Source organism: Homo sapiens, chromosome 5 (genome assembly GCF_000001405.40).
Source record: "Homo sapiens chromosome 5, GRCh38.p14 Primary Assembly".
NCBI classification, from domain to species: domain Eukaryota; kingdom Metazoa; phylum Chordata; class Mammalia; order Primates; family Hominidae; genus Homo; species Homo sapiens.
This window is the reverse complement of record NC_000005.10, coordinates 6,875,983-6,888,851: the sequence shown is the minus strand read 5'-3', so window position 1 is coordinate 6,888,851 and position 12,869 is coordinate 6,875,983. Positions and strand designations below refer to the sequence as shown.

At 42.2% G+C, this 12,869-nt stretch overlaps 1 long non-coding RNA gene across 4 annotated transcripts in view; it reads right to left on the bottom strand.

Moving 5' to 3' along the window:
• Positions 1-731: 731 nt before the first annotated feature.
• LOC105374642 (uncharacterized) overlaps positions 732-12,869 on the bottom strand; it is a 41,400-nt gene continuing 29,262 nt past the window's right edge. For all 4 annotated transcript variants that reach the window (NR_188250.1, NR_188251.1, NR_188253.1 and 1 more), the window contains one exon: positions 732-2,426. This is a non-coding gene — a long non-coding RNA (uncharacterized LOC105374642). The remainder of the gene's footprint in view (positions 2,427-12,869) is intronic.

Sequence of the window (12,869 nt, the reverse complement as noted above, 5' to 3'; positions counted from 1 at the left end):
AGGCTCTTGCCCACATTTCTCCTGCTCCCTCTCCCTCCTGACCCACCTGGTGGCCACCTGTGATGTGGTGTAACTTGCTCCTCTGGGGACTGTGACCAACAAACTGTATTTTTTAATGGCAATTATCTCACAATCTGTTGGCTTTACTGAGTCTCAAATTTTCTATTAATACACCGTATTTTAGAACAGGGCCACATTCAGGGATAAGACAGAAGCTTTCAGGAGCTGAGGGAAACTCCAGCAGCTGAGAACAACCCCTGGCCAACATACAACAAGGACGCAGGTGCTTTAGTCTTACAATTGTGAGAAACTGGGTTTTGTCAACCACCTGAAGAAACTTGAAAGGGATTCATCCTCCAAGCCTCCAGGGAAGAGCCTTATTGGGCCGACTCCTTGATTTCAGCCTTGTGAGACACTGAGCAGAGAGCCCAGCTGAGCCTCCACAGGCTTCTGAATTAGGGAACTGTGAGAGAATAATTAGGCGATGATTTAAACCACTAAGTGTGTGGTAACTTACAGAGCAAAAACAAATACAATAGGTGATGATGATGATGATGACGATGACAATGACGATGATGATGATAGATAGATAGATAGATAGCTCATTTCTATGTTATATGTAGGCTGCCTTTAAATGTATATAAAATTTAAACTGGATATATTTCCTCAACTCTGGATAAATTATATCATCTTGTTTACGTTTTTAAAAGACAAGCATTTTACAAGAAGCATTTTCATTCTGGTTTTTAATAGAATTCAAAGCTATGAAAAGCAGTCATCACAGCCCTGGGCAGAGTTCAGCTGCATTCAGTTTGTGCATCACCAAGTGACTTGTTAAAGCCACAGGGACAACAGCCCAGGACACACTTATCTGAGGTTATTTGATTAGATATGAATCTTTCACCTTCTTAATACTACAATTGCTATGCCAGCTGGAAATATGTGGCAATCTCCCCTCTTCCCCCTCGCCCTGGGTGGGTGAGTATGTCTCACCATCGTGGGTCACATGTGAAATAACAGCAATCCCTGCCATTACCAGCTGTTAGTGCTGAGGTCAAGAGAGACACCTTAGGGATACTTAGAATATGATATGCTTCTCACGTTACAGAGTCCTTCAGTTTAGCAATCTTGGCTTTTATAGCATCAGAATAATATAAAATAACACTTTCCTAAAAATATAGTTCACTTTGACAATCAGTTCTCTCAAATCCTAATCAGAAGGTTATGACATGGATATAAATTTTTAAAGCAAACTCTAAAATGGAACACATGTGAACTGCATCCCTATCATGTTCATATTGTTCATCTGGGCACTGGGATGGGGTACAGTAAATAACTTTGTCATGGTGCCAACATCCTCAAACAAGCTTGTCTTCACACCTTGTTTCTCTGCTTATGTTGTCTTCAGAAAAATCTGAGTCCAAACCTCCTGCATCAGGCAAGGACCACAATGCACCTGACTCTAGAATCCAATCTGAATCCCCATGACAGCCCTTCCATCCAAACTCACATCCCCTGCCATTCATTTGCTTCCTGTCTGTATGAGAGGCTTCTGTGTCACCACAAATGGCCCTCCAGTGTTTTCCAGTGATATCTCACTCTCTCTACACTGAGAGGGCAGATAATTAAAGGGCAGAATTCTTTGAGGCACTCCAAGAAAATGCCTTCCTTTTGAGCTTCTTCATTTGCTTCATAATCAACACTGTCACTGTTGTTCCAATTTGCCTCCACACTAATTGCCATTACTCAACCTTAATAAGCCCAAGAACTGTATTGAGAAACCTCTAAACGGCTCTCTGTATGACTCATTTCCGCTGCCAGAGACCCTAGTTCTGTTTTTGTGTGCAACCTGCACAATGTCTGTGCCCCTCCCACAGGGACAACCATCTTTGTGCAGGTCGGCCTGGCAGCCAGGCCCAAGGTATTCCCACTGTACCATCATGACCCTCCAGTCTGGAGAAAAGAAGGATTAAAGTCACAAAAATTTTACTCTTCAACCACAGGTCCTCACTTACAAGAGCCTGAACAGGCTCGCTGTGCTCTGGGACTGATACAAAATTGGTCACAGATCCGCTGGAGCAAAGCCAACATTAGATTTGATCACCTTGGGGTGATAGCCAATCTTACATTTTTTATTCCACACCCTTTGTCCCACTTTCTTCTCAATCTTTATATTTTGGTGAGGATGGAGCATTTGGGGGCAGGTAGTCTGAGTAGAGAAGACCCAAGAGCAAAGAACAGAGTCTAGGAAAGATGTGAGATCCATAATGAGTCCATTGTCCTCTGAAAGTCTCAGTGATATCAGTCTCAGTGTTCATTGCATGTGCATAGAGTTGCCTCGCTGTCTCTCCCTGTGGCTTCTTGCTTGGGACCAAACTTCCAGGTAACACAATCTGGTGGCCAAGGTAGTCTCAAACATTCAAAGTCTGAGTAAAGAAAAAGTAAATCTTTTATTTAAAAAGTATTCTTACTACTCAGCCATAAAAAAGAACAAAATCATGTCTTTTCCAGCAACTTGAATGGAACTAGAGGCCAGTATTCTAAGTGGAGTAACTCAAGAATGGAAAACCAAATACTGCATGTTCTCACTTATAAGAGGGAGCTAAGCTATGAGTACACAAGGGCGTACAGAGTTGTATAGTAGAAAATGGAGACTCAGGGGGTTGGGGGAGTGGGGGATAAAAAACTACCTATTGGGTACAATGTACACTACTTGGGTGACATGTGCATTAAACTCCCAGACTTCACTGCTTTACAGTTCATCCATGAAGCCAAAAACCACTTGCATCCCTGAAGCTATTGAAATAAAAAATTTAAATTAAAAAAGATTTAAATATTCTATTCTAGAATAATCAAATCAATTCTTCATCGCTAATTAAGAAAATGCAAATCAATCTCAAAGTTTCATTCAGACTGTATCAAATATTTCCATCTGGCAAGAACTATGCTAAACAGAAAGACAAAGCAAAAGATACGATATGATCAGATAATGTCACACACACCTTCCCCAAAGGACATCTCACTTGAAGGCCTCATACCAGCCCCCAAGGCCCTGTGTGATTTGATCCCCATCACCTCCCAGAACTAATCTCCTACCTCCTGCCTCTCAAACTCTCTGTTTCAGCCACACTGGCCTCCTTCCTGTTTCCTGAATAAGTCAATCAAGTGCCCCCATCAGGGCCTTTGCACAGCTATTCACCAAAATGCTCTTCCAGCCACCAGCAAGGCTCATTCTCTCCCCGCCTTGAGGCTCCCACTCAAATGTTACTTTCTCTGTAGACTTTCCATGGACATTCCATCTAAAATTTCACCTCCATCCCATTGCCTTCTAACCCCTTTTCCTATTCAGGAAAAATAAGAAAGGATAGGGGAGAGGAGGATGTGGGGTCCAGAGCTGAAGAGGAATCCGGACTATATTGCAATTCAACCCCAATCACAAGGCCCGTCCACTCTCACCAGGGGTCCTGAATACGTTTTTTTTCCATTCAGATCCCAAAGATTCTTGGCAGCTCTAACCTCACTTTTCCTCCAGGACTTATCCTACTTGGCCCATTACAGAACAATGTATTCATGTATGTATTGGATGTCTCTTTCCTCCCAGCATAGAAGTGCCATGGTCAGAAGGATGTTTTGTCCCCAGTGCCCAGAACAGTGCCAGCCCCAAAGAGGCTCATTTGCTTAATGAACAGTTGGATTTTACAGCCAGAGGATTTGACGGGTCCCTGAAGGATGAATAGAATATATGGAGATGAAAAAATGTAGTGGGATTTCCTCCATCACAGGTAACAGAGTGTCCAAGTCCTGAGGCAAGAAAGACCAGCCTAACAGGAGTACTTTGACCCAAGGCCAGAGTTGCAGAGGGCAGACGCAAACCACGCAGCTCCCAGAATCTTTTAGGAACCGTGGACATTCGATCCATGGGAGCAAGGTATAGTTTTAATCAAACATGATTTTTATTTGACCTGTAAAGAAGCAGAAGCACTTTATAGCAGAGATGACGTTGTCTACCTCTTGTCACTTTTCTCTTTGTCTCTTGGTAACAGAATCCTGACTGTCTTTGGGGCAGCAATGTGCCCAGCCAAAAGACTGCATTTCCCATCTGCCCTCTGACAAGGTGTGGCCATGTGACTAAGTTGTAGTCAATAAAATATAAGTGAAATTTGTCAGAAATTTCTGGGAAGTCTTCTTAAAAGGGTTTGATACAAGTGGGAGGGACATCCTTTTTTTCACCTTCTCTATATTCCCATTTCTGCTGCATAAGATGCAGGTGTGATGGCTGGAGCTCTCGCAGCCTCTTGGACCATGAGTTGTACTTGGTGATGGAAGCCACGTGCTGAGAGCAGCCAAGCAGAAGACTGGTCTCTGAGGACATCCAGGTGCTGTCACACCAGTCTGGACTGCCCACCACCCAACATTTTAGTGAGACAATAAAACCTTATGGTTTCAGTCAATATTATTTGTGATCTTCTGTTAAGTGCTGTCAATATCCTCCAGTCAAGGGGCACCAGGAACACACCTGTGGCTGAACAAGTTTTGTTTATTACTCAGTGCGGTGAGGGGGAATGCACAGTATGGGAAACCAAGGGTCCTAGTAAGAGGATTCAAGAAAGGATATCATTTTGGTCTTTGTGCCTTACAGGAAGTTGATCCTACCAAAATGTGTATTGAATAAATAAAATTTAAGGCCAAACAACAACTAGAATGTAATAATGTAGTTCTTTTGTATTTGACAAATAAAAATTTCAGTTTCTAGTTTAACATGAATTAACAGATTTCTAGTGTTGCTCAGATTTTTGGACAAATTCAAAGTCCAAGTATTTGGTCTATATTTGAATTTTCTATTCCTAAAGTCCTTCATTTGGACATAAACAAATTTCAGAGTTTGACAGGTCACATTTTATGTGACTCAATTATTGCTAGCTGAGCTTATATTAAGAAAGTTTATTCACTTCATTTTTCAGAACATTAGAATAATCCATACACAGGTTCTGAAGTACAATAAGTAAAAGTTGGGTGGTATTTGAATTAATTTGGGGATGGTAATAAGGGGTCTATTTTGAGCTCACCTTTTATGGGAGAAATATGGTTGCTTTATGCCTGAGGCAAAATAAAAAACAAAAAAAGCTGCTATGCAGTTGTCACCAAAAAATATATGTTGTTGAAAGAAAAGAAATCTAATTGATCCAAAATATGAGGGAAAACAATATTCAAGTCTAAATTAGCTTAACTATTAAAAGAAGCAAAGATGATCACAAAAGTTGGACAGAGAAAAATTGTTGTTCTAAATGGTTTTGAATGTGTGTGAAATTTTTAAATCTGTTTTTAACATAATTATGTAATGTTCAAACATTTTAGTACATGAACTAGATAATGAAATGACTGCTCAGAAACAGTCACCCATACACACATCCACTTATATATTCAACAAATATTTATTGAGCATACAGAATTGACTTGATTCTATGCAAGAAGCAACAATGAAGACCCTGAAGTCAAGTAGCTTGTAATCTTCTGGAAAAGTCTGAATAGGAATAATAAATAATTTATTCCAAAAATGGAGCAGAGAGCAGTGAGAGTGGTGTAGTAGGAACAGGAGTAATGAGCCTAATCCACCCTGGAAAGTGAGGATGTCTTGGAAGCAGAGATATCAATGCTGGATCTAGAAAGGCCAGTAGAGCTTTCCAAGTCCAGGGTGGAGGGAAAGTCTTTCTAGGCACAGGAAAGCATATGTGTAAAGTGCAGAGAGAAGAGCACAGGTGTCCAGGATGCAGACAGTAGTTTGGTGAAGTAGGATCTAGCATGGAAAAAGAAACTTGAGAACAGAGAGAGATGGATCTGGACGGGAAGACAGGTGGGACAGAGATTTATGCTATGTCACCTGTGCTAGTGGAGTTGTCATTTGCAGTGCTTCATGCACTCCATGTGCTTGAGTTTTACATCCTTTCCCATTCCCTGTATCTTTGCATGTCTCTCAGCATGGGCAGAGTACATGCTCCTGCCTCCTTTATGTTAGACTTCACAATGTAGACTTTCTTTACCAAGTGGAAGGTGGTTAGAAGTGAGTAGGTGTCAGTTCCAGACCATAGCCTCAAGAAGCCAAGCAGATGCCAGCATCATGCTTCCTGTACAGCCTGCAGAATCATTAGCCTATTAAACCTCTGGTCTTTACATATTACCCATTCTCAGGCATTTCTTTATAGCAGTGTGAGAACAGACTAATGCACCATGCAACCTGCACTCACAAAGGAGATGGAGGGATGACAGTGAGAGTTGGGACATTACTCCGATTGTCATGGAAGCCTAGAGGAGTGGGCTTTGATATGTCTTAGTTACGGCAGATGTCACGGGCAGCCCAAGCAGAGTTAGACTCATTATGTGTTTCAATTAAGTTGAAGAATTCCAATAGTGTGGAGGAAACAAAGCCAGATTTTAGTATAAGAAGTGAGGACCTGGAGGCAGAGCATGATTTCAAGCTTTGGAGAACGTGAGTAAGAAGGGAGGTAAGTATAGCAGACTACAGAATTTCTTTGTAATAAAGAAGATACTAGTATCTTGTTGTTAAGAGAAAGGACTTGCAAAGGACAGAGAAAGACTGATTGCTGCCACAGGGAGGCCCAGAGAAAGGTGGCAAAGGGGTTAGCCTCAGAGAAAAGAACAGACCTTGCCTCTAAGACAGTGAGGAGAAAGGAAAGAAGACTATGCACAGACCCTGGTATACTGGGAGCTGGAGAGGAGGACTTTGCAAGCAAGCTGGACAGATGCTATTTGACATTCTGGTGGGATGTGTAGCAAAGAGATCTGTTTAGGGACTTTAGCAAGGGGAAAGTGTTCAGAATTAGAACTTGTTTAAAAATGGATAAGGGAGAGTCATACTGCATTGGATCCCAGTGAGATCAGATAGTTTTTTTCTTCTTTCAGCAGGACACATTATCAGGATTATTTTTATTTTTATATTTGCATAATACGAACAGAGAGCAAAAGGATTGACTGAATTCACCAAGGGAAAATGAGAATGGCAACAGAAGGTCAATTCCTTGCCAATGACAGCATGGATGAAAGATGAATAAGGGACTGACTGAAGAAGAGATGAGCAAAGCTAGAAAGTGGTTTGTATCCCAGTGCTGCCTCACACCTGGACTCCAGGCCATGCTGTCCCTTCATCATCTCATGTTATCTTCAAAACAACCTTTGGAAGGATGCAGGAGGAAGAAAATGGAAAGGTGTAAAACTAGAGATCAGAATGAGGAAACCGCATCAAGTTCAGAATAAGTGAAAGCACAGAAGTATAAGAGTAACAGGATTTATTGAAGAAAAGTAGATCCAGAGACTATGGTCTTATACATGAAGCAGTTTCAAGTGACAGCCAAGCCATGTGTATGTGTTGATGAAATGCATTGGAGGAAAGGGTCATCAGAGTTGGGAAGATTTCTAACACTTAGTTCCTGAGAGGGGCAAAGGACTGGGAGATAATACAAGGAGGCATGTTACCTGTGGGAAGTCAGGATGAAAGTGAACTAAATGTCTACCTATTCACAAAATCCAGATTACAAATTGGATGTGGTATTATTTCCCAAAATGCATAACCTAAATCTAATCATAGGAAAATATCAGATGACCCCAAATTGAAGGACATTTTGCAAAATACCTGACTAGTACACTTCAAAAGTGTCAAGAACATAAAAAACAAGAAAACCTAAGGGTCTATCACAGACTGAGAGAGGAGACATTGCAGCCACGTACCAAGTGGATACCAGATGCAATCCTGGAACAGGATAGGACATTTGTAGAAAACCAGTGGTCTCCAATTAGAGCCTGCAGCTAGCTAACAGTAATGTACCAATGTTAACTTCTTAGTTTTGATACTTATTTATGGTTATGCAAGAGGGAAAGTTAGGTGACAGGTAGAAAAGAACTCTCTGTATTATCTTGCAACTTTTCTGTACGTTTAAAATTATTTTAAAAATTTTAAGAGATAGCTGTGAAGTCCACATGTCCTAGAGAAGTGCAGGAGCCTCTGACCTTTCCATACTGAAACCATCTCACTCAGGTCCATGATGAAGCTTGTTACACATATTTCAATCCCAAGCAAAAATCACCATAGCTAGGAGCCTCTGTGCAGCAGCTTAGTGCACTGCAGTTACTGGCACTCCATAGTACCAAATAATTGTTTGTCCCACTTGAAAGTCGAATTAGGAAATTCTACATTTGTATGGTGACATGCTAACTGTGATGGTTAATACTGAGTGTCAACTTGATTGGATTGAGGGATACAAAGTATTAATCCTGGTGTGTCTGTGTGGGTGCTGCCAAAAGAGGCAGACCCACCCTTAACCTGGTGGGCACAATCTAATCAGCTTCCAGTGAATATAAAGCAGGCAGAAAAACATGAAAAGGAGAGATGAGCCTAGCCTCCCAGCCTACATTTTTCTCCTATGCTAGATGCTTCCTGCCTTCAAACATCAGACTCCAGGCTCTTCAGTTTTGAGACTTGGACTGGCTCTCCTTGCTCCTCAGCTTGCAGATAGCCTATTGCGGGACCGTGTGATCACGAGTTTCTCTGCACAAGCTCTCTCTCTTTGCCTGCCGCCATCCACGTAAGACATGACTTGCTCCTCCTTGTCTTCTGCCATGATTATGAGGCCCCCCAACCGCCATGTGGAACTGTAAGTCCATTAAACCTCTTTCTTTTGTAAATTGCCCAATCTCGGGTATGTCTTTATCAGCAGCATGAAAACAAAGTAATACACTAGCCGTGACTGACACACCTCCTCCCAAATTCAGCACAACCACTATGTTCCACAACTGCATAAACCACTAAGTATGTGCTGGGTAGAATACTGACCCTCAAAGATGTCCACATGTGAACTTGTGACCACATTAGATTACCTGGCAAAGGCAGATGAAATTAAGGTTACTAATCAGTTGACCTTGAGATGGGGAGATTATCCTGGATTATCTGGGAAGGGTCAGTGTAATCTCAAGGGTCAAAGTGGATGAGAAAATTGGAGAGAGACCCAGAAGATGGTGGCTCAAAAGGACTCAGTCCAACATTACTGGCCTTGAAGGTGGAGCGATGTGGGTGGAAAACTGTGGATGGAAAAGGCAAGGAAATGGTTTTTCCAGAAAAGAACACAGCCCTGACAACACCTGGATTTTAGTCCAGTGAGATCCATATCAGACAGCTGACCTACAAAACTGTAAGATAATACATTTGTGTGGGTTTAAAGCACTAAGTGTGGGGCATGTGTTGCGGCCACCGAGCTTCACACAGTGGTGCCTGGGACTTTGTGAGAGGCTGGGGATGAGAAAAACAAAGAAAGCAAAACTTGCAAAAGCATCACAAACCACATTTTTCCATCTGGGAAAAATTCCCTCTACCTATAGCAAATATGGAAACAGATTGTAAATCATACTCTCAAAAAACATACCACATGTTCCACTCTCCGTACCAGAACAAGATAGACAGTTCCAAAGAGACGACCAAGAATTTTGTTCTGGAAATGAGGGCATTTGCACCTACCAGAAATAGACAGCTGCCTCCCCTACTCTACCACACCCAGTGATGGTCCCAGGAAAATGCTCTCTGGAGTCTGCCAGCTGTGACACTTTGTAGAGAGACCCCTTGCTCACCAGGCTAAATCATAAACTCATTGAAGCCTGAAGACCCTAAATGAGCAGTATAACCTGATTTGAATATTCAATTTGAGATGTAAATGTGTCACCAGCTGTCTTACTGCAGACTGTTATAACAAAGGGCCATAGTCTCAATGTTTTATAAACATCAGGAATTCATTGTTCACAGTTCTGGAGGCTGAAAGTCTGAGATCACAGTGGGTTCTGCGGAGGGCCCTCTTCAGGTTGCAGTCTACCTACTTCTTGTATCTTCACAGGGTGGAGAGAGTTCCAGAGTGCTCATGTATCTTCCTATAAGGGCACTAATTCCATTCATGAGGATGCTATCCTCATGACCTAACCACCTTTCAAAAACCCTCCTGCCCAATACCCTTGCTGGTGAGGATTTCAACTTAGGAATTTGATGGGATGTGGACATTCGGTTCACTGCATGGCTTTTTGTATAATGTTGTTCAGGGACTGGTGGGTTATCAGTAGACAGCCTCTGTGAACTAACTGAGAAAGGCAGTCGAGGATGCAACCCAGGAAACCCAGGAAAGGAAGGCCCTTAGACTCCACCTCTTGGGCACCCTGTGGCATGCACACAATTGTTCCTGGTGCTGCTGGTGCTGTTGCATCTGGTGAGATCCCTGGCACGGGAGACCTGTCCTTCCCTGCACAGTCTACATGTTATGACATTACAGGTTTTGAGAGCTTAGCTCCTTGTTCCTGGTATCATTCAGGGTTTTATTGAAAAGACCCCATGCCCTAAGAAGACGCCCCACGCTGGCCAGCTGGGGTAAGGAGAGACCCCACAGTGACCAGTTTAAGTTGGAAGAAATTGCTGAAGATAATAGGTATCCAGCAAAAGAGTCCAGTGTGGGCACTGGGCAGCCAGGAAGGATGTTGCAGTCTTCACGAGGGGTCGTGCCCTATGAAGATCTCTATGCTGTGCCATCACACACGGGCCCCATGATGATGAGTACCTGCACCTCCGACCCAGACCCTCCATCACCCCTGCTGCCTAACAAGAGAGCTGCTGCTCCTCACCCCAGAGAATGGACTTCATAAGGTCCCCTCTGCCCACCAGGCACTCACCCTGTGCTCTTCAAGATCCAAAGAGCATGGGTGCATATGATGGGCAGAGCTGGCTCCGTGCCTGCATCCCTGCCTGAGGGTGGCTGGGAACGTGATTTTTTGGCTTCTCCTTGGAGAGCTCGAACTGAAAATATGGCCGCTATCCAGGATATTGCTTTGAGGGAGGACCTCCCTACAGAAGAAGAAGGAAGAGGGGGAGGAAGAGGAGGAGGAAGAAGATCTGAGGACAGTTTAAACATGCCCTTAGCAGCAAAATATATATGTTTTTTTTTTTAACGGAGTTTCGCTCTTGTTCTTCAGGCTGGAGTACAATGGCTCGAGATCTTGGCTCGCTGCAAGCTCCGCCTCCCAGGTTCAAGTGATTCTCCTGCCTCAGCCTCCCGAGTAGCTGGGATTACAGGCTCCTGCCACCACGCCCAGATAATTTTTTGCATTTTTATTAGAGACGGGGTTTCACTGTGTTGGCCAGGCTGGTCTCAAACTCCTGACCTCAGGTGATCCACCCCTGCTAGGCCTCCCAAAGTGCTGGGATTACAGGCGTGAGCCACCGCGCCCAGCCCAGCAGTAATATATTTAATCAGGCAAACCTCTACCTAACAGAAAGGACAGAGACACTCAAACTGGGCTAACAAGCAATGTCAATCAATGAGCTGCTTACAGAAGACAGACTAAAATAACAACGTACACAAGTTAAAAACAAAAAGATGAAGATGACAAAAAAGAAATCAGAGAACTGTTAACAGCAGACCAAGTAGAATTCAAGACAAAATGAATTAAATGTGACAATGAAGACCATTTACATCAAGTTAAGGGATAATTTGTAAGACAAGGAAAATAATCATGAAATTTTCAAGAGTCAAATAGTGTCTCCTCAAAATCTGCACAGAAAAGGAGATTGAAATAACAAGAACATTTGATTAAAAACGAAAATGGAGCAGGACTTAAAACTCTCAGTATTACAGATTACTGACACCAAGGCTGTGGACAACGTAAAGCACATAAAGATGTATTCATGGATGTACTCTACTCCTGCAGACACCACAGATACAGAATTGCTTTAAAATGACTTTATTTATAAGTAATAAATATATTATTTATTATAAGGTAGCAGAAAAAAATAGGCATTGGTAACAGCTTCAATGAAAACACTTCTATCCAGATCTTTTAAAACATCCTCACAAGCAACTAAAGAGTCTGCCATTTTAATTAGGGCTGAAGTCTGTCAAATCCCAGGGTATGTGGCCAAAGTTCTATTTAAAAGCAAATTTCATTTCTTTAAAGGATTTCACTATTAAAAGAGAAACCATGGATAAAAACTAAGCATCTACGCAAAAAAAAAAAAAAAAAATTATGTACATAAAAAGTGGAAAAAATGTGGTCCCCAAGAAAGTAACAGTAAAGATCAAAATGAATGTTAATAAGTTAAAAGAAGATATCAAATAGAATTGCTAAAATAATCCAAAAATTGCTTAAAATCATATAGAAATAACATTTTTTAAATAATAAAACATACTTTGTACAAGTATATGCCAATTAAACTTAAAATCTCAGAAAAGTTGATTTCCCAGAAAAATCTCAATTGTCAAACTTGAGAAAAGATTCAAAATACTTGTCATCAAAAATTACCTCCATAGACCGGGCGCAGTGGCTCACGCCTGTAATCCCAGAACTTTGGGAGGCTGAGACGGGCAGATCACTTGAGGTCAGGAGTTCAAGACCAGCCTGGCCAACATAGAGAATCCCGTCTCTACCAAAAAATATAAAAATTAACTGGGCCAGGCGGCACACACCTGTAGTCCCAGCTACTCTGGAGGCTGAGGCATGAGAATAGCTTGAACCTGGAAGGCGCAGGCTGCAGCTAGCCAAGATGGCACCACTGCACTCCAGCCTAGGTGTCAGAGTGAGACGCTGTCTCAAAAAAAAAAAAAAAAAAAAATTACCTCCATAAAAGACCACAAACCTAGCAGCCAGATCTTAATTTCTTTTATTTATTTTTTATTTTTATCTTTTAGCTGCTCCTCGTGGAGCAGGGTTAACCCCTAGGTACCCAGAAGTCAGCCCAGATCTTAATTTCTAATACCATTCTGCAATAAAAGAAACCAGGGCTCCTTAGAGAAATGGCTAATTCTGTGATGAGCCTGGAGCATCTCATAATGCCA